This window comes from Homo sapiens, chromosome 12 (genome assembly GCF_000001405.40).
Source record: "Homo sapiens chromosome 12, GRCh38.p14 Primary Assembly".
NCBI classification, from domain to species: domain Eukaryota; kingdom Metazoa; phylum Chordata; class Mammalia; order Primates; family Hominidae; genus Homo; species Homo sapiens.
Window position 1 is genome coordinate 41,554,077 of NC_000012.12, and position 22,565 is coordinate 41,576,641.

The 22,565-nt window shown below is 37.1% G+C and overlaps 1 protein-coding gene and 1 long non-coding RNA gene across 3 annotated transcripts in view; one reads left to right on the forward strand and one right to left on the reverse strand.

Annotated features, from left to right (window-relative positions):
• PDZRN4 (PDZ domain containing ring finger 4) overlaps window positions 1-20,669 on the forward strand; it is a 386,426-nt gene extending 365,757 nt beyond the window's left edge. For both annotated transcript variants that reach the window (NM_001164595.2, NM_013377.4), the window contains 4 exons: window positions 1,622-1,684; window positions 9,472-9,573; window positions 13,707-13,823; window positions 18,288-20,669. In NM_001164595.2, the coding sequence (NP_001158067.1) occupies window positions 1,622-1,684; window positions 9,472-9,573; window positions 13,707-13,823; window positions 18,288-19,814 (1,809 nt within the window). In that variant the 3' untranslated portion in view covers window positions 19,815-20,669. The remainder of the gene's footprint in view (window positions 1-1,621; window positions 1,685-9,471; window positions 9,574-13,706; window positions 13,824-18,287) is intronic.
• Window positions 1,594-12,230, reverse strand: LOC107984498 (uncharacterized). The gene is made up of 3 exons (XR_001749090.2): window positions 11,755-12,230; window positions 6,462-6,638; window positions 1,594-1,758 (listed from the first exon to the last, which is right to left on the reverse strand). It is a non-coding gene; the product is annotated as an uncharacterized LOC107984498 (long non-coding RNA).
• Window positions 20,670-22,565: the final 1,896 nt, after the last annotated feature.

The following is a 22,565-nucleotide window of genomic DNA, read 5'->3' on the forward strand; positions in this document are numbered from 1 at the left end:
AAATCTCCAGATAATATTCAACTTATGTACTTCTTTTAAATATGCAATTAGGATAATTCCTCTGATTAGGGTGAGGAAGTATAAGGAAACACCTGTGGCATTATCTCTTGTAATATGTACAGAGATAGGAAGGTAGAAGTTTAATATTAGTTTGATTACAGTTCTAAAGATGAGGCTTTAGATTGTGAGTGGTTTTTAAATGGGATACAGTTCATGAATCACCCTTCACTTCCTTCTAGTAAGTCTCTATTTACTATTTAAATATGTCAGAATTGGAGCTGCACTTTTCAGGGAAGGGAAAGAAGCCACAGGATCTGAACATATGTACTTGGAAGGAATGTTTTCCTTTTACCTCTTACATGTAATTATAGTGTCACTTATTCTTGATTGATGATTTAAGACTCAATTATTAGGTGGCACCCATAATAAGAAAGTAATATCTAACATATGGATAGGATGGATCAACCTTATGCTACACTTGAAACAGTTTGCTTAAAAAAAAAAAGCTTTGATGCAACAAGCCTAAATAAAGTTTGAAGCCATCACATGAAATCTGATAGATGAAATTACCCGCAGTGAACTGTAAGTCATCACTCAAGTTTAGCCCATTAAAATGCTGATAAGCTCCTAATACAGCCTTAAATATCTATACATTCTAAAATAGTTTATAGTTAATATACTTTACCCCACATGTAAAGTAGTACTGAGTAATTAAATGCATGGATCAGATGTGCGTGTGTGTGTATGTGTGTGTGTGTGTGTGTTTCTTGAGCAATATAGGTTGTAAATGTCTTTATATATAAATTAATGTGCCCATGAGACATAATTCTCTTTAATAAGTATGGTCTTGGGCCGGACGCGGTGGCTCACGCCTGTAATCCTAGCACTTTGGGAGGCCAAGGCGGGCGGATCACAAGGTCAGGAGATCAAGACCATCCGGGCTAACACGGTGAAACCCCATCTCTACTAAAAATACAAAAAAAAAAAAAAAAAAAAAAAAAAAAATTAGCCAGGCGTGGTGGCAGGCATCTGTAGTCACAGCTACTCGGGAGTCTGAGGCAGGAGAATGGCATGAACCCGAGAGGCGGAGCTTGCAGTGAGCGGAGATGGCGCCACTGCACTCCAGCCTGAGCGACAGAGCCAGACTCTGTCTCAAAAAAAAAAAAAAAAAAAGAAAAAAAAAAGGACGGACTTACACTACAGCTATCAGCTTTGCTAAGACAAAAAGTAAATTTCCTGGGTCCAGAGAGTCCTAGCATTACCATCACCTCATGTCAACTGAAGATCATGTGACAGTTGGGATACAGAAATGAGTGAACAAATGTGAAAAAAAAAAAGAATGAAGGGAAAAAGGAAAGAAGAAATAGAGAAAGGGTGGAAAACTGGTCTTCAGATTAAGTTCTGCTCTAGTCCTCACAATTTTATTCATGTTCATTCTAAAATAGCTCATTTACATTTTTAGAATCAATGAGTTTTGTTGGAGAGAAATATTATGTATACTGTCACAAATCAACAGAGAATTTTGAAACAGCTTTTTCAAAATATATTTTAAAGCCATATTTTTAAGTTCTTGAGGGAATGTTTCATACCCAGTTGAAGATGTATGTCCTCTTCATTACAGGTTGACCCAAATAGCATTGCTGCCAAAGACGGCCGGATTCGAGAAGGGGATCGGATTTTGCAAGTAGGTGGTATAGTAATTTCCTTTAGTTCCCCACGATCTGTCCAAAGTTACTATTTTACTTTGTTTCTTGTAAACTGTTGAGAAAAGAATTTGTCTTTGCTTTTGGATACTAACATCTACAAAACCAAAAAAAAAAAGTGCTGTCATTTAAAACTAATTTAGGATGGTGCGATATATTAAGAGTGATTAGCTAATAATTAGTGGTTCAAATACCATCTCTGGAGTCAAATTTGACTTCTCTTCCAGCTTCACCATTTGCTTGGCACACTGCATAACCTCCTCTCATCCTAAGCTTTATTTCCTCATCTTAAAAAAATGGTAATAATAACCTATTGTTGTTGTGAATGTGAAATGAGATTATGCTTGCCATACGCTTAACACAGTGCATAAGTAGTTAATAAATATTAATGGCTATTATTACTAGCAGCAGCAGTTATTGCTGCCTTTTCCAGAATAAATTAAGTGAACATGGATCTAGATGTTCCTTTGCTATATGAAAGTCTAGAAGTTTGAAGGTGCCAACTACAGTCATGAGTCACTTAATATGTTTTGAGAAATGTCATTAGATGATTTCCGGGTTGTGCAAACATTGGAGAGTGTACTTACACAGACCTAGATGGTACAGCCTACTACACACACACTTAGGCTAGCTGGCGTAGCCTACTCTTCCTAGGTTACAAATCTGTACAGCATGTTACTGCACTAAATACTATAGGTAATTGTGACACAATGGTAAGTCTTTATGTATCTAAACGTAGAAAAGGTATAGTAAAAGCATGGTATTATAATCTTATGGGCCCATTGATGTATCTACAGTCCATTGTTGACTGAAAAGCTGTTGTGTAGTGCACTACTGTATTTACCAATGAGTTGCTGGGAGATGAAGGAGAATATGTTTTATTCCCCACATGGAAATGTGGAAACATAGAGACTGATTACATTTCAGCTTTATGCAAGAGATAGTAAGCAGACTGTAGGAGGGATGTGAGGCTGGAAAGAGTTTTAGGCCAAATCAGGAATAGCTGAAAGCCAGTTTCTATCCTAAACCTGCCTTCACCTGCTTGCTCTCTCCTTTCTGAGTCCTCTCCCATAAAGAATGGCTGCAGGGGCCAGGCCCGGTGGCTCACGCCTGTAATCCCAGCACTTTGGAAGGCCGAGGCAGGCAGATCACCTGAGGTCAAGAGTTTGAGATCAGCCTGGCCAACATGGTGAAACCCTGTCTCTACTAAACAATACAAAAACTAGCCAGGCATGGTGGCAGCCACCTGTAATCCCACCTACTTGGGAGGCTGAGGCAGGAGAATCGCTTGAACCCGGGAGACAGAGGTTGCAGTGAGCCGAGATGCCACCACTGTACTCCAGCCTGGATGACAGAGTGAGACACTCTCAAAAAAAAAAAAAAAAAAAAAAAAAGAATGGCTGCAGGGAGACACACAAACTCCCCAGCTCTTGTGAACAGATCAACTCCAAGATAAGACCAGAGGTGCTTTGGGATGGAATTTCACTGCCAATCACAACTGTGAAACAGAGAGGAGGACTTGAATGATAAATCCAGGGAGCGATAAGCTGTTAAAACGTCACTGCCACTGTTTCAGAGCTACTATTTCTCCTTGTTGGATACAGACCCTTGGAGAGTGTTTTTTTGGATTCCACACTTTTGGAATCCGAAAACCAGGGTTTCAAAAATAGACAAGATGTTGTCCCAGCATTTGGAGCACACCATCTCTGTTTAGGAAGACAGGAACATACACAGATGATTACAGTACAGCATGACACTGTCATGGTAACACTCTGCCTGCGTGGCCTGGGCACATGTCCTGCCCAACTTTCTGCAGTTCTCTCCCTTGTTCAGGACAACACTCATGGAATCACACCATCTCCTCACCGCCTGTTCTTCCTCTAGCTAGATAGTGCAGAGCTCCTTTTTTTTTTTTAACCGTGGACCTTCTGTTAAGGCTCCAAACAGGAAAGAATACAAAGTGTGAATTAATGATCGTTTGGGGTCCCACTAGTTTTCAGAAAACCTCAAGAACATAATTTCTCCTTCAGTGAGCTCCCGAAATAGTGATCTATAGTAAACAAAATGGAACTACGTCTATCATACACAGGGGAATGAAAAGTGGACCAGGAAGCCAAGACATAGTCTTGTTGACCACTGCATTTCTGTCATCTTTAACACATGCACATGAATAAATCAATGAATGAAACCAGGGTATTCAGTGGAGAGAATGATAGGGTAGATGAGTAACATCTGTTGAAAGGCTTTGCTTGTACAGCTTCGTTAAGAAATTAAAGGGACCATTTTCGTGTGTCATCCAGATAACAAAAGCTTCAAAAGTGTTTTACTATTTTTTAAATTTTGAAATAATTTTAAACGTATTGTTCACTTTGTTAACATCTCCAGTAAAATATACTGAAAATAATGTAATCTTTTGATGCTCAGAGTCACGTTACATCCAGCATTCATTCCACAATACTATAATAGAGTAAAATGCTCAGTGATTGGAAAGTCTGGAAGATCTGTGCCCCAACATGAAATGACCTTATTTGGATACACTTGCAGATGCATTAGGTCTATATTGTGTCATTTTTCTTACTCCTCCCTTGCTGTTGCCAGCTGGTACTTCTTCCTCTTGCCATCTACTTCATATCCCATACCTCCTACTGTACCTGGCACCCTTCCTAGTTCCCAGCTAACCCCTCTTCCCTAGGCTAGATACACAAATACAGTTATTAAAATTTCATTCATTTGTTCTGTGGGTATAGTTGGATGGAAATAAAGTGCATGTGTTTCCATACATGCATACTGTATGTTATGACACTTCCAAAATCCTTAGGGATATTGTGGGCAGGTAAGTTTTTAGAGAAAATACCTGCTAGATAATAAAGCATTTCTTAATGGTCTAGATTCACTAAGGAAACAATAGCAGGATGTTAAAGTGCTGTTTTCCGCCTGATTACTTTATATTCTGTGACAAATATGTCACACTTAATACATGTCCCAGTAAAAAAACCTGGAATACAATTCTGTTTGCACACATAGGAAACAAAGAGTCTTAAGGGTGATTATGAAATTATATTAAGTAAAACTCTGACAAAATTGTACCCAGAGACAAATAGCTCCCTTATGGTTGATGAGGAGATTATGGGATACCCTGTAATGAGCAGTTAATGACTCCTTTCCCAGAGAGATGAGAGTGAGAAAAACAGAGGATTTACTTCTTATCCTTAAAGTTTCTTGGATGACTTTTATTTAAATGAGTCCCTTTAGAGCAATTGTGATTTTAATTTTCTGTTCATTTGACCTAAGTAAAGTATGTCAATGGCCCTGCCCTCACTGTGTAGCCAAACTTTTCTTAATGTAGCACACCATGGGCCTGTAGGTGAACTCACCCAATGACATCTCACTCACACACACATACATACACACACACACACACACACACGTGCTGTCACACAAAGGGGATTGTTATAGAGTAGGGATTGTGCAGAAGAGAAACCAGGAACCAACTTCCTGAGAATAGTTGTGGTTCTCCTGTGTTTTTAGTCTGCAAGGAAAGTTCTTCCTTTTCATTCCTTCACAGTTCTGTCTGCTGTGTCATTGCCAGGGACTTATATCAAATGTCTCCAGGAATTAATTTGGGGACATTCTCTCACAAAATTGCAGTGCTGAATATGGCATTTCTGAATCAGATAACAAGAGTAAAAGACCACATATATGACCAGCTTTCCAAGGAGTTTCCAAGGAGAGAATGCTATATTCTCCTTTTCTCCTTGGGATGGTAAACCTGTAATATTCCATGTAAGCCTCCTAATCTCATGTTGGCCAAAACTCAATAACGTTCCTAAGGATGACTTCCTGATGAAACTTTACAAGAACTCAGTGAAACAACACGACTTCTAATGAGCTCTCTCTTCATTTCTCTGTTCTACACATAAACTCGTTGATATGGTTTAACTATGTCCCCACCCAAATCTCATCTTGAATTATAGTTCCCATAATCCCTATGTGTGGTGGGAGGGACCCAGTGTTAGGTAATTGAATCATGGGGGCGGTTACTCCCATGCTGTTCTCGTGATAGTGAGTGAGTTCTTTCAAGATCTGATGGTTTTATAATGGGCTTTTTTCCCTTTGCTCAGCACTCATTCTCTCTCCTGCCACCCTGTGAAGAGGTGCCTTCTTCCATGATTGTAAGTTTCCTAAGGCCTCCCCAGTCATGCAGAACTGTGAACCAATTAATCCTCTTTTCTTTGTAAATTACCCAGTCTCAGGTATTTCTTTATAGCAGCATGAGAACAAACTAATACCCTGGTTCTCATATTCTTTTATTTTCTTCCCTTTGGATATTTCCTCCCTATTTCTGTTTTTTCCGCATCTATGTCTCTAGACTTTGATCACCTCCTTTGTCTCCATACTAAAATATAAACACATTTGAAATAAATCTTTTCTTATTGCCTAAGATTCTTGATGGTTGGATGTCAAGAATTTGAGTTGCCCACCTACCTCTGGTACAATAATAGAAAAAACCTAGATATTGGTATATGGAAGAGAAAAGCTATATTACATCTCATTTCTAAGCTTTTAGGGCTTTACACACACACATACAAAACACACTCATACACACATACAGGAGATTGGGCCTAAAGTGAGATTTTGACAGATCTATCCATATAAGTACCACAGATCTCTTCTTAGCCAAGGCAATATCCATTTTGAAACTAACATTTACATATGGCCATGTAAAGAAAATGAGACAGTTATGTTAACAAAACTTACCTGCTGTCTTTCTCTTGGTTCTCTTTCCCTCTATTTTCCTAAAGTGGAAGTCCTCCATTAAGCTATGTGACGTGACTACTCATCTGTCTCCCTCCCTTATTGCTGGGTCCTCCACTTCCATGTCTGCCTGGTATTTTCCTGGCACAGCAGGCTGCATTCCCACAAACAATCCTGTAACTGTAAACCATTATTTCAGGACCAAGAGCAACCGAAGGTTGAAAGCTCTATCTGATTCTGTTCCTCAATTCTTTTCATTCCTTGAGAGGTATCTTTGCTGAAACCCATGGCTACATTTCTTGCCCCAGTATCAGTTTGGGTGTAAAACTAATGTCCTGAGTACAATAGCATCTACCAACCGGTTGGCTAAAGTGTGGCACTTATTTTCTAAAAGAAACAATAAATTACATTTTAATGACAGATTTCTGTGTCAGTGATTTCATCCCAGGTACGATCCTGAAGGTAGAAGTGTTTCTGCAAGAAATGATCTGTTGCCCCAAAGTAAGAACTAATTGTTGCCAGGACCAGAGACCATAGCTCTGGTCATAATGAGTTCTCAGGGGAGAGAAATGAATACCAACTGTAAAGAAACTAAAAGGCAAAAAACCCCATTGTTTCCTGATGGTCCTCTAAGAGTTAGAAATACATATGAGGTAGATATCTTTTAAAATAAAACCATGTTTACTACTATGCATTTAATAACCTTCTATAAATTTCACTTTATTTGCTTTATTTAGCACGAAAGAGTCTTGTCTTTACTAAGGATTAAAATGTAAATGATGATAGTAATAACAACAATAACAATAGCATCAACAGTAATATGTGCCAGCATTGAAGACATTCTATGTACCAGGCACTATTTAAGATTTTTACCTGTATCGACTCATGTAATCCTTATAAAGACCCTCTGAGAAAGGCACTATTATTATATGCATTTTAAGATAGCAAACTTAATAGCAGCATTAGACTAACATGAATAAGTATTTAGATTAATGGTAAGTGCAATTTAGATGAAGAATGAGGAAATATATATTTTTTATATATATTATATATATTAAGTTATATATATAAAGACTATATATATATATATATGTACAGTCAAGTGGAGACCAGGAATAAAAGAAGTGAGAAGTATATTTCAAACAGAAAAGATGAAGATAAGCTGTGTAAGATCACCCAATTCAATTCTCTTAGGATCAGATGTGCCTGTAGTGGAGAGGAGATGAATAAACAGGTCCATGTTTGACAGACAAATAAATGCATTGCAAATATATTACTAAGAATTACCATGAAACAGACATAAGCCCTCAAAGTGCAAATAGAGTAAATACTACAAAGTCATTATTTTAAAACTACACTTAATAGAGGGTAGGGGAAGTATAGTGGAATCCACCACTGCCAATTTATCTTTATTTGAGAAAAAAGGCCTTGGAGTCAGTACACACATACTTTTCCAGAGGTATTTATGACAAACCGCAACATATCCTTCCCGGTCATTATTTCCCATTGTGGAATCGTAGCTTCTGTTTCCTAATTGGATGAATTTTATTTGTGAATTGCAAAAACAAATAGGGAATGCATGTGAAACTTATAACCACTGAATTTCCTTTCTGTGTATACAAGTGAGAAATGACAGTGATTGGAGTAAGAAAATACAATTTGTGCCCATATATATATATTTTTACTATTATTGCCTGCTTTCCTTGCACTAAATACATATAAGAGTATAGGAATAAGGATTATTTATTGTGGTTCAAGGTTGAAATTCATGGGCTTGTTTTCAGATAATTATGTCTGTCCTCATGCATCAGCCAGAAACCCAGAGACCTATGAGGAGAAAAACCTCAATAGTCTACTTCATGCTTTTAAGCAGAAGTCCTTAGTGAAAGACATTAGATTATTGAAAAAAGAATGGTCAGTGCTGCTACATTTTCCATCTGCTTCATTTATTCAAGTAATTAATACTATTTTAGACAGAATTACTTGATCTCTTTAATTGGAATTTCTTTCCCATTATTTGATTACATATAATTATAAATCAAAAATCTTGCTGTCTCTATGGAGTTGAGTAATCAATAAAAGAAAATAATTATTAAATATCCAAAGGAAAAAGTTTTATTAATTAAGAGCTAAATATATTTGCACATGAAAATGTAGTTTAAAAAAAGAAACTTTACAAATCTTATTTACTTTTTCTTTAGAACTTAGAAAAAGTAAAAAGATATATTTCTAATGTCACTGGAATCTTTTCCATGAAATCTAAAGTTTAGTCAAGCTTGGTTTCTTTCACTCATCATTATTTTAAAAATTCAATTTTACTCTATGTTAATATTTTTTAAATTTTTAAATTTAAGAGATGAGTCTGAAGATATTTCATTAGTTGTATTACTTTAGGAAATGGATAGATATTAGAAGGGAAATGGAGTATTGATGAGAATGTTATTTTACTTTGATCAGTTAAACACTGAGATTTATCCTGACGATGATGTTTGGGCAACTGGGTCAGACCCACACGCAAATATGAAATGATTAAATAAAAATGCAATCAGCAGTGGCCTGGGAGCATTGCCTGGTGAGAGATAATACTGCAGCTCTCTAATTGGCTCGCGGCAAGCGTGCAGGATGACGGATTTCAGTTGTGGTATTGCCAGTCCTTCTTCCCCCAGCACTATTATCTCAGAGTGACACTTCCATTACTCTGAGCGAAGAAAGATGAACGTCACCTGTCAGGAGCTGGTTAATTGTGTTGCTAGATGTATGTTGCCAGGGCGCAGGTTGGACATTTATGAACATAACTGCTTCCTCTGATGTCCGCCATCCTTCACGGATCGATATGGCTCTTACAGTAAGCGCGTAATTGAGTGAAGGCACTTTGAGCTGAGGGGCTGAAGATGAGCCCATTGTGTGAGCTTCATTGTCCATACATTTACCATAAATGAGCTGATATTTGCCATTTATTGTGTGCAGCATTGTGGAAATGGAAACTAATGTGCCACTCTCATTTGTTTTCTAGATAAATGGGGAAGATGTCCAGAATCGAGAAGAAGCAGTGGCCTTGCTGTCTAACGATGAGTGTAAGAGAATCGTGCTGCTTGTTGCAAGGCCAGAGATTCAGGTCAGAACAGAGATCAAAAGCCTTGAGACTGAACTTTATATTCATTGAATTCACTGAATGTAAATTCGTGAATGAATTATATTCATTATCTGCTATTCTCTATCAAATCATTATCACGGTTATCTCTCCCCATATAACCCACCAGATGGCCTATGTGGGAGTGAATTTTAAAAATAGATATGAAAGCAATTAAGGTATACAAAATACAATAAAGACTGATCTTTCCTAATTTATCAAAAGTATTACACATTAAAGACTTCCTTATATTGCTCCATAGAATGGCAGCTAAATATCCCTTTTAAGGGGGGAAAAGCATACCAAATTGAATTGTGATTCTCTCCTTCAATTTGCCACTTACTTAAATAAATACTCAAATGAAAAATGGCTGTGTGGATCCTTTTAATTCTGTGTGGATCCTTGCTTTAAGTTTCCATCTGAAAATACTTAAATGGCATATGAAGATATCTTGGAAGAAGCTCCACGAGAGAAACACTAGCCTATCTAGTCATCAACTTAAATCTTTTTAAAATAACTTTATCAATTAGAATGTCTTGTATAGCATGATCTGGTTCCATGTATAGTAAATGAATTGTTTCCAAGTTTAGTGTGACCAAAACAATTGTCCAGCCAAAAACTGATAACTTCTAAATGAATTTTTTAGATCTTTATGGAAGAAGATGTCATGAAAGTAGAGTAAAGGTAATGGAAAAAAAGTACTATTGGGGCTTCCTTTTATATCCTTTTTATCTCCCATCACAAGGCAGAAGGGACAAAACATTGTCACCAGTCTATCTATCTGTCAGTAGTTTGAATAAAGTTAGTTATATCGCCATTTGTCTCCTCGGTTATTGATATGATATTTTTCAGACTCAGTAACTACATACTATCTATAAATTACATTGAGTAAGTGTATTTCAGTGTCAGACTGAATCCTGACTTGAATATAGTGGTTATAAAAGATCACCCTTTCTGCATATATTTCGTTTATGCCCTTGCCCATTCTAAATGGTTCTCATAAAGTCTGCCATAGCCTGGGGCAGAGTAAAGTTACACACCTGAGGTCTTAGGAGTGGGGAAAAAAGCCCACAAAACCCCCACACTGCCTATGTGGGAGTGAATTTTTAAATACATATGAAATTATACCAATTATCTGGAAATTTCTCAACCCAGTTATCTCGCTGCTCCCATTTTCTTCAAAAAAGAACATAATAAAGGGGCTAAATGCATATTAGTGAAATTTATGATAAATTGAAGTTGCCATCTCTATTGTAGAGAAGATATTTTTATGTTATAATGTGGTTTCCCTGCCCTTTCCATGTAACTGCTAGAGAACCTCATTAATTTAGAACTAAAGCATTTCCTTAAACTATGCCACATAGTGGCCATAATGGGCTGTAGAAATAATAGAAATTAATAACATAGACCAGATCCTGTTAATCTTTGATGGAATACATATGCTGGGTAGAACCAGTGGAAAATTTGAGTATCTGGCTACACTTCTGACCTTTTTCTCCAAAAGAGTCAATGCTGAAGGATGAATTTTCAAATGAGACTTCCCTTTCCACATTTGATGAAAGATGGTTGTCTGACTCCATAGGATGCTGTCCTGCCTGTCAAAATTATGATCTGCATTAGCCCCTTGATCCTAAAGAAACCTTCATGACACTGGAAGGAAGCTAATTGCCTATAGAAAAAAAAAACAGATTTCCAGAGAAATCAGGAAAAGAAATACATTTTAATACCATACTTTTAAAATGTAATTTAATCAGTACATGCTATAAAGTGGCAAAAAAAAAACTAAAAAAAAAAAATCTTGTCTTTATATCACCCATATTTTTCCATTGAACTCAATTTATCTCATTGTTGTATGTTTTTTTTTTGCGTGTGTATTTTATTCGGGGAGAATGTGGAAGCTTTTGTGTGCTTTTTCTAGCTTTTTTTAAACATTTTTAACGTTTCAAATACTCTCTAGATTCTTGGAAATGATCTACAGAGTTGCTGGGGGCAGTATTGTACATCTGTGCAATATTTTTAAATAACTCATTTTCCTCATTTCCTGTCAACTCTCTTTCATTTTCTGCCCATTTTCTTCCTGAGACCATTAAAGATATTGCTTTTCTGTCCTATTTCCCTCAGGACACTGGGGCAGAGAGGATTCTCATAAGAACTTGTAGCCACTACCTTTGAGACAGTGTAGGTTGTTCCTTTTTCTGAGATGCCACATGTGGCCCCCTTTGGTGCAGATAGATCCCCACTCTTAGTAGTAACAATCCCTCTTTTCCTGCAGCTCAGCTCAAGGGAGATGTCTGTCTCTGCCGTTACATTAGACTCAGACCATAGTGAATGTACATCTAGGTAGAAAGGGGGAAATAGGAGAGAAGAAGGAAGTGAGCAAGAAGAATCTCCCTTTGCTAATTGTGCTGTGTGCACCTCCAGCCTAAAAGAAAGCCTTATCAAAATAGACATATAATGACTATGGCTGGCAACTCAGGAATCTACTGGATTACTCAATAAGAAAAGAGTTATGGGGAATCATTAATTTTGACCATTTTCTCTTTATTTTCCCCACTACTTCATTTAATCCTCAAAGGACTCTGTTTCATCATTCAATATATCAGTGTTAGAAAATACTTTATTTTGACCTGATTAAAGAAAAATTCCTTGATGTGTTTGTGAATAGTAAGCACTCCCCATTTTAAGTAATTTTTTATGATGTCTGGCATTTGTAGCTTTATGATACTTGAAAAAGATTAAAGAATGTAAAATTTGAACAATTATAAATTGGGCTGAATTTACATTTTTACTTGGCATAATTTTCATAGCTCATCTGCATATCAAAGTCACAGGAATTTGATCAAATTATTCAGGCGACATTAAGATAAATGAGGATGAACAAATGTGCCAGCACTTTGGGCCCCAGTTAAGTTTGAGGTCATTTAAGTTCTACATGGCCTTTAATAGATATCATGAAATCTATGATTTGCCTGCATATTAATAAAGATGATACCTGTATGCTAATGCCTCTTTTGGTGCAGCTGAATGTCCTTTCCAGTTTGTTTTTAAGTTGTAGAAGTTCAGTTATGTTTAAAAGCTTATTTTGCCAGTTCATTGGTGGTGAAAATATCTCAAACTATTATCCATGTTTGCTCACTAGAATGCTATTTCTTTGTACAGGGTGATGCAGAGTTTTGACGATAATCCAGTTAATTTAATCAGCATAGACAGCTAATTTATGTAATCCAGCTCCAAAAATCCACTTTGAGGCAAATTATCTGTAGTAACTGTCAACACTGATCATATTAGATCATATTAGCCAGGTAACCACCAGTTTTCCACTTCACTTTGTATTGAAAAGCCGAAGGGATTTGTTCAGTTCAATTTGCATTAAGAGTCCTACAAGAATACTTGTTTTCAACACCCATAAACAAAACCCTGCATGCCCCACACCACTCCACCACCCTTAAATGTCGCATCCACTGAGGTGTTTTTCCTATAAAATTGGGCCTGAAAACAAATTAAAATAGACATGGAGTAATATTGCTTTTCTTTCCTTTCCTTGAGAAGAATAACTTAGAATTTTCCTTTCTTCACAGACAAAATAAATGTCTTCTGTACATTCTTTTGTGGCAAGCAGCCATCTTGTTGACATGGGAGCCCACCTAAAAAGAAAAAAGCAGGATGAGGATAGCACGAGCGTATGGGGGGAACTTTGTGTGCAGTCTCGTTGGGGGTTGTTGTTAAAGAAAACAGCCCAATTGTCTCATAGCCCAATTAGTAGCATGGCAGTCCTTTTAACACGGGACTGTTGGAGGTAATGAGCATGACAGCTGTGGATTATGCAGGATGCTTTTCATACATTTTGAAAGAAGGTAATATTCTGTGCTGTGAGATTTACTTGGTTATGAGAGAAAATCTGTAGTCCCATTTCAGGAAAGGATAAAAGGCATAAGAGTCCTTTTTTTTTTTTTTTATCACCTTTTCTTCTTTCTGAGAGGTGAACTGTGGGAGGCTGGTATTCTGAAGAGAATCATTATGATAAAAGGAACTCGTCGGGCACCGGCCATTTAAGTTTACTCTATTTTAACATGAGTTCTCACTAACATAATATAATGTACTAATGTATTCTTTTGCAGCTGGATGAAGGCTGGCTGGAAGATGAAAGGAATGAATTCTTAGAGGAGTTAAACTTGGAGATGTTGGAAGAAGAGCATAATGAAGCAATGCAGCCCACTGCCAATGAGGTGGAGCAGGTAGGGCCAACAATTTGAACTACATCATTTGATATGTTGCTTGTTCTTTTTTTAATGTGTAACCATAAATGAAGATGAAAACAAAATCAAAGGGTTTAATCCATCATCTCTATCATGGTAATTTTTTAGAGCAAATGATCATCTCAAATGAAGCAGAGGGAATAAATAAAATGTTTTTCCATTAAGAATATATCCAGTTTGGGAAGCTTGGGGACAATTGTTAATACAGTACAGTAGTATTCAAATGTTGACCCAGGCACTACTTCAAACTAATTGCAGAAATTTAAGAGTAAAAAATGTGTGTTGCTTATCAATATGCCAGCTGAAAACAAACTGAGGTAGCTTCCCCAATAAGTAATTTTTTTTACTCTAAAATATTAATGTATCTATTTGAATACTTAGGCTATCACTATAGGATGAAGATGACATGATGTAAGCCATCAGTTTTATTTGCGTACTGGATGGCGTGATTACACCTGTATATTCTGAATAATCGTAGAGATTATCCTTGGTCTTATGGCTGCTGTTGACACATTTCCCATAGTATAACTTGTGCAACATTTCTCATAGCATAGTTTGAGATTATTAACATCATTTTGCCTTGAAGTCACATATTCATTCAACTAAACACTTTGAACTCCTAATATGTTCCAAGTACCCCACTTGAAACTGAGAATAAAAAGAAAAATGAGCAGAACTGCTGTCCTTAATGGATTCATAACTAGTAAAAGATCACAGTGTGATTAGTATATTATTTTTATTGTCTTTTTCCCATTTTACAAAAACAAGTTCAATGTATTCTAGATTTTTTATGTTACACTCATGTCATTTATCTGCCTGATATAATTTTGTTTTCAGTTTACTGATTTGTTTAATTATCTTCCTATTCTCAACATTATTATATGTATTTTATTATATATATATATACGGAATCTTGCTCTGTCGCTCAGGCTGGAGTGCAGTGGCACAATCTCAGCTCACTGGAACCTCCGCCTCCCGGGTTCAATTGATTCTCCTGCCTCAGCCTCCTGAGTAGCTGGGATTACAGATGCCCACCACCATGCCCAGCTAATTTTTGTATTTTTAATAGAGACAGGGTTTCACCATGTTGGTCAGACTGGTCTTAAACTCTGACCTCGTGATCCACCTGCCTCGGCCTCCCAAAGTTCTGGGATTACAGGCATGAGCCACCGTGCCCTGTCTATTCTTATTATTATCATTATTATTATTATTATTTTAAGATAGAGTCTCACTCTGTCGCCCAGGCTGGAGTGCAGTGACACAATCTCAGCTCACTGCAACCTCTGCCTCCTGGGCTCAAGCGATTCTCCTGCCTCAGCCTCCTGAGTAGCTGGGACTATAAGTGCACGCCATCATGCTCAGCTAATTTTTGTATTTTTAGTACAGATGAGGTTTCACCATGTTGATCAGGCTGTTCTCGAACTCCTGACCTCAAGTGGTCCACCAGCCTCAGCTTCTTAAAGTGCTGGGATTACAGGATCCCACCACCACACCCAGCTAATTTTTGTATTTTTAGTAGAGATGGGGTTTCACCATGTTGACCAGGCTGGCCTCGAACTCCTGACCTCAAGTGCTCCACCAGCCTCAGCCTCCTAAAGTGTTGGGATTGCAGGCATGAGCCACTGCACCTGGCCTCAACATTAATTCTTAACACATCTTAAAAGATGATAATTTTTTTGAAAATCTTGACAGGCTTAGAAACTTGCAGCACAAACATTCTATCACTTTACCATGTTGAATAATGAAATATTCAGCTTGCTAACATCCCATAACAGAAATGTGTATGTGTGTGCACATGTCCACATATTAAATAAATAATTAGATTGCACACTATAGCATCAACATAGTCATATGTGATATACTCATGTGCTCATTATGTGGAGTTTGGCCACTCCACAAACAGAATTTCATGCTCACAAGTAATATCGCTACTGTGGTGACTGTCTTTCAATATAGGTAGGGCAGATTAAAATTTTTATGTATAACTTCAACACTGGCCAAAAATAAAGATATTTTTGGTGGCAGCTGCTGGTTACAAGCAAGAAAGTCCTTGCTCCAGGCTTTTTTTTTCTTAGATACAAAATGTGACCTGATACTGAATTGATAGGAGGATGTTGGAATAAGGAAAGCAGGGAGAAATCCTGTCCAGGTAAAGTGACAACGGTGTCAAACGCTGCCTACTCATCAGAGGTAATACAAATGTTAGGTCTCGTGAGGTAACACTAGATGCCTCTGAGGTTAGATTCTCATTGTGTGGAATTTTTTTCTTCACCATGAGACTAAAAAATGGTGAGAAGTACAGAAACCTTTAAAAGTCCTTTGCCCTTATAAACAATAATACTACATTAGAAATGTCTAGGTAGAAACATTGCCTGTCACTATAATAATTCCATAGGGAAATGATAAATGATAGAGTAGCATTGCATTAGAAACTAGGAATTCTAGGTTTGAGAATAGAAAACTATTTTATTTTCACAGTTGTTCATAGACCAATAACAAGGGAAAGGGGATATTCAATTGAAAAAATAAAATACCTACCCATATGTGAACCTACTTTATGGAAAGTTTCATTTTACACAGTATGTTTGGTCTTATGAATGCCGTTACATTGTGCAACATCTCCCATAGCATAATTTGTCATTATTATGTCATCTGCATGTAAAATAAGAAAAAAATTACTAGTCTTCTTGTATTTTTCAGCTCATGACAAGATATTAGAAAAATATAATTATAAATAACACGATATATAAATTCAAATGCCCAGTATCAATAACATTCTTTGAGAGTTATATGGTGTAGTATAAAGACATTGCCATATTAAATACTATTGTCACCTTATAAGTCACAGCCTAGGGATGCAGCAAGCTTCCCATTGTTCGTTACAGTTACTTATTATAATTTTTTAATCAATAAGACATTTAAGATAAATCTCAGTATGTTTTCAACAAATGAAGGAACATGTTCCAGGGAAAGAAAGATTGAGAGTCATAGAAAAGCTGATACATGGTTATGTTCTCTCCTCTTGATATTGTTACTTTTTATCCTGCCACTACTTTTGTGGAACAAAATAACAATTATCTAGAGAGACCTTTTTAGACTTCTTTTAGAATATCTTTTGTCACCCGTTCTATCCTTCTTTAGCACTAGCTGTTGGCTTGATTATATTTAATTGTGTAATTACATCTTCTAGAGGGATGGAGCTATATCTATACCTATCTATCTATCTATATATATATATAGTGAATAAACTTAGGCATAAGGCAGATATAACCTAGAAACTGCCTTATAGATTATCATATGATGACTGATAGAGGTGAAAGTAACTTTACCATATTCACAGAGAAAGAACTACACATGCATCTTATTAGGACAGTTACAGTTAATTGTTTTACATGAAAGCCAAAAATTACCAGAGTCTCTCTCTCTCTCTCTCTCTCTCTCTCTCTCTCTCTCTCTCACACACACACACACACACACACACACACACTACATAAACATACATGCATGCCTATATACATATATGTGACATAAGTGTCAAAATTTTTTTGATATTATGCCCATGTCTGGCAATCAGTGCTGTTCAAATTTTCATGGGACTGAATTTTTATTCTCAATAGACTAAAATTTATCTTTGAAAAAAAATCCCTGGTTAAGAGTAGAAAAATCTTATACAACCCCAATGAGTCCTAAAACATTGTTGTTGCTTTTGAGAAACATGATTTAGAGTGCACTGAGGTCAGAGCACATGTATTCAGGAATATGGCATCCTGGACATATAAGAAATTCTGGCACTGGAAGATGAAGCTTTGCCTCCATCTGTCATTAATAACCTGAATCTGCCACTAATAACCTGAATCCTTTTGGAATTGAGCATCCTCACCTATAGATAGCAATGTCCTAGGCTCCAGTACATAATGTTAACTTAGTCCTAAAACTCTGTGATGTTTGGCTTACCCATTGTCAGCATATTACTAAGCCAGTGAAGTTTCCTCTGTACTTAAGGGGAAAAACATAAGGTGATTGTGGCTTCTGAACATCAGGTCTCCATATTGCTGAAGACTATTTAGACATTCTGTCTTATTCTTTTGCATATTATCACCTCAGAAATTCATACAGTCACTTTGTTTATACACCTTCAACCCCGAGTTTCCCAAGTAAGAGAAAACCTAAAGAATCACTTATTTGAATGCATTCTGTCTTATTTATATCCATGTGAATATCATAGCCATATTCAAGCGGGTTTTGTTTTCTTCATTTCATTGTATAAAAAGCTGCCATGAGCTAATTTCCTTTATTTCTAAAATTGTGATGGACCCTAAATTAGAGCAACTGTCTAGGAGATGCAACTTTGCCAGGAAACATTGGTTTTCAAACAAGATTTTTAATAACAAATGTCTTCCAAAATCATTAATTTTCTTTGTTCTTTCAACATCATTTTCTTAGCCAAAAAAGCAAGAAGAAGAAGAAGGCACAACAGACACTGCAACATCCTCATCCAACAACCATGAGAAGGACAGTGGAGTAGGACGTACAGATGAAAGCTTGCGAAATGATGAGAGCTCAGAGCAGGAGAATGCAGCCGAGGACCCCAATAGCACATCTTTGAAGAGCAAGAGAGACCTGGGGCAGAGCCAAGACACTCTGGGAAGTGTTGAACTTCAGTACAATGAGAGCCTCGTATCTGGTGAATACATTGACTCAGACTGCATTGGCAACCCAGATGAGGACTGTGAAAGATTCAGGCAGCTCTTGGAGCTCAAATGCAAGATTCGAAATCATGGAGAGTATGACCTGTATTACTCAAGCAGCACAATTGAATGCAATCAAGGGGAGCAAGAGGGAGTGGAGCATGAGCTACAGTTGCTTAATGAAGAACTGAGAAACATTGAGCTTGAGTGTCAGAATATCATGCAGGCTCACAGGCTCCAGAAAGTGACAGACCAGTATGGAGACATCTGGACATTGCATGATGGAGGATTCCGGAATTATAACACCAGCATAGATATGCAAAGGGGAAAGCTAGATGACATCATGGAGCATCCAGAAAAGTCTGACAAGGACAGTTCTAGTGCTTACAACACAGCTGAGAGCTGCAGAAGTACTCCGCTCACTGTAGACCGTTCCCCTGACAGTTCCCTTCCAAGGGTGATCAACCTCACCAATAAGAAAAACCTGAGAAGCACAATGGCAGCCACCCAGTCCTCTTCCGGACAGAGCAGTAAAGAGTCGACCTCCACCAAAGCCAAAACCACTGAGCAAGGTTGTAGCGCTGAAAGCAAGGAGAAGGTTTTAGAAGGCAGCAAGCTTCCTGATCAAGAGAAGGCAGTCAGCGAACACATCCCTTACCTCTCTCCTTACCACAGCTCCTCATATAGATATGCAAACATCCCAGCACACGCCCGGCATTATCAAAGCTACATGCAGTTAATTCAACAGAAATCTGCAGTCGAGTATGCTCAGAGTCAGCTCAGCTTGGTGAGCATGTGCAAGGAGTCTCAGAAGTGTTCAGAGCCCAAGATGGAATGGAAGGTGAAAATTAGGAGCGACGGGACACGGTACATCACAAAGAGACCCGTGCGAGACCGAATCCTGAAGGAACGTGCCTTAAAGATCAAGGAAGAGCGGAGTGGCATGACCACAGACGATGACACCATGAGCGAGATGAAAATGGGGCGCTACTGGAGCAAAGAGGAGAGAAAGCAGCACCTGGTTAGGGCCAAAGAGCAGCGCCGTCGCCGTGAGTTCATGATGCGAAGCAGGTTAGAGTGTCTCAAGGAGAGCCCTCAGAGCGGCAGTGAGGGCAAGAAGGAGATCAATATCATTGAACTGAGTCACAAAAAGATGATGAAAAAGAGAAACAAGAAAATTTTGGACAACTGGATGACAATCCAAGAACTGATGACCCATGGGGCCAAGTCTCCAGATGGCACGAGAGTCCATAATGCCTTCTTGTCGGTGACCACTGTATGACCGAATGAATGGAATGCATGCGACTGATTTTAGGAGGATGCTACCAGTTTCGGTAGAGTATGATTGCCTCGTTCAATGTGGCGTTTTTATATATATTTTGTGACTCTTTATAGTTTAAATTTTTTGTAAGCAAAAAATACCTGGTAATTTTTCATTTGTTTTTCATATACTGGTACCTTCTTTTTGGCTGAGATCTTTCTTTTACTTGTGATATATTCATATTACTCGTTTATAAAAAATCAAAAACAAAAGGAAAGAAAACAAAAAAAACTTGCACAAAAATACTGAGGAGCCAATTAATTTCCTACTTCAATGTATCTAATGTAAGTGAAAATCTGGATTTATTTCTCTAGTTTACTTATTTTCTACTTTAATAATAACTCAATGCCAAAATATTTCTATGCTTGTTTCTTGGCATAATACATTTTAAATCAAACCTGTTCGTAATAAATCATGTGCCACATCTTGTCTTACACATAAAAGCCACTGCTTTTAACATCCCATTGTACATTTAACACATAAATGGTGTTAACATCCCATTGTACATTTAACACATAAATGGCCATTGTCTTTGTCTCAGTAAAGTGTAGGTGGACAATCTTCCTGTGATATGTAGTGACATTGGTCATGTAGCTAGATAATTATGGTAATTGTGACAATTAAAGAGAAATAAATTATTGATTATCCTTCAGAAAAATTATCAAGGAGTGTTTTATTTTCCTTGTCCACAGTGGTTGACAGTTATAAAGTAGTTATATGTGTATACTATTTAGAAGACGCCTAATTGTGGATTATAAAATGTGCACATTTTCTATCACTTGTTTCCAATAAAGTTGTATTGAAACATTCCCTATAGATCACTGTGTCACATATGCCTACCAGGATTAAATTCGATAATATATGTATAGCATCTAACAGATGCTAACTCAACATTCAATAGCCATTAGTTCATGTTCCCGTTGCCTGCCACCCACTTTTAAGGTAAAACCAAGAAAAATTTAAAGAATGCCATGGAGAGAGAATATCAGTGAAGTGTCTGAGATTGTTTATAATGCTGCAATGTATGTTAGTCTGCTCTGGCTATCATAACATAATGCCATACTTAAACAACAGGAATTTATTTCTCATAGTTTTTTTTTTTTTAAATGGTGGTCTCACTTTGTTGCCAGGCTAGTCTTGAACTCCTGGATTCAAGCAATCCTCCTACTGAGGCCTTCCAAAGTGCTGAGATTACAGGTGTGAACCACTGTGCTGGGCATCAATTTCTCATAGTTCTGAAGACTGAAAGAGTCAAGGTCAAACACACTAGGGGTTAGGGTTTCAACATATGAATTTTGGAGGAACACAATTCAGTCCGTAGTGCTATGTGTATTTAGTTGATAAATAAATTTTAATAATTTATAAATAATTTTAGGGAACCATATTTGCAAAATCCTCAGCATAGTCAAGTATAAATGCTTCATATGTCAGTTTATTAAAAGGTAAGATTATTAGATGACTAGATAAATTTTTTAAATCTAACTTTTCACCATATAAACATATGAACTATATTGCATATCCATCATCATACCTCCAAAGTGAAAGGCCAGATCAAACTATGTACATGCAAACATGAGTTTGATCAAATTTTCATTCAACTTAGCAGATTGTTTTAACATAATAGATACACAACGTCTGCTTATTTCTGAAGCTACTTTCCCATTTAAAAACCTACAGTGGCTTCCTAGGAGCTCTAGAATCAGACTCCTATGGCCCTCCATTAACTTGTGGGCCTTGCCTATTGCTCTTTCTATTTAGATCTTCTCTGAGTTACTCCTGACTCCTTAACAGCCTAATCATTTCCACTCAGGTTATCCTATGCTATCGTCCTGTCTGGGGTTTCTGTGACAAATCCTACACCTCCCTTGGCATGGGATCACATACATTTCCTTTTTGGAGACTCTTTTAATGACATCAGACTTTCTCAGCTATTTGACATATACTATCATGCCTATTGCTTCACCTTGGAAATTGTATTCTTTTGTTATTGAATCACATACATGCATAGAACTTATTGTCTCCCTGCATAGATTTGAAGTTCCTAGAGGAAAGCCCTCATGACCCCCCTCTGTCTTTGTAAGCTGGTAGGATGCCATTTGAATAATAATAAATTTTAGTTGAGCTAATTATTTTATGCATTTATCTCTCTCCTCCACATATTCGTCCTTTTGTTACTGTTTTCCTTGCTCTTCTACCCTTTCAAGTTCTTGTCTTTTGAAGGGCTATCACACAGATGAAAAGAAACTAATCTTATTTATATATAATGAAAAGCTGGACTCAAAAACTTTAAGATAGTGATAGTAATAGCAACCTAAGGCAACTGAAAATTTCATCACTTGTAATTTGAGCTATTGTTAATCCAGTGAATAAGACTGCCCCCAGAGCACCTAGAGGGTTAACTTTTGAGCACCTAGAGTTAACTTTTGAATCACGTAAGAATGCCTGTCTATCTTAAGTGCTCAGTTCTTTCCAGATCTAATGCCTGTCATTATTGTTTCTCCTCTTGACACAACTAGGTTGAAATATTCATTGCCTTTGAATTACTCCAATAGATAATCTTCATTAGGAACCAACATGTAGATTTTTCCAGAAGAAACATGTACACATCTCACAGTATGCAGTTTCCAAAATTACCAGTTTAATTTTATTTTTATTAAGGCCCAATGTGCTTGCCAATTGTTTAAAAATGTGATGTTGGTGTCTTTCATGTCT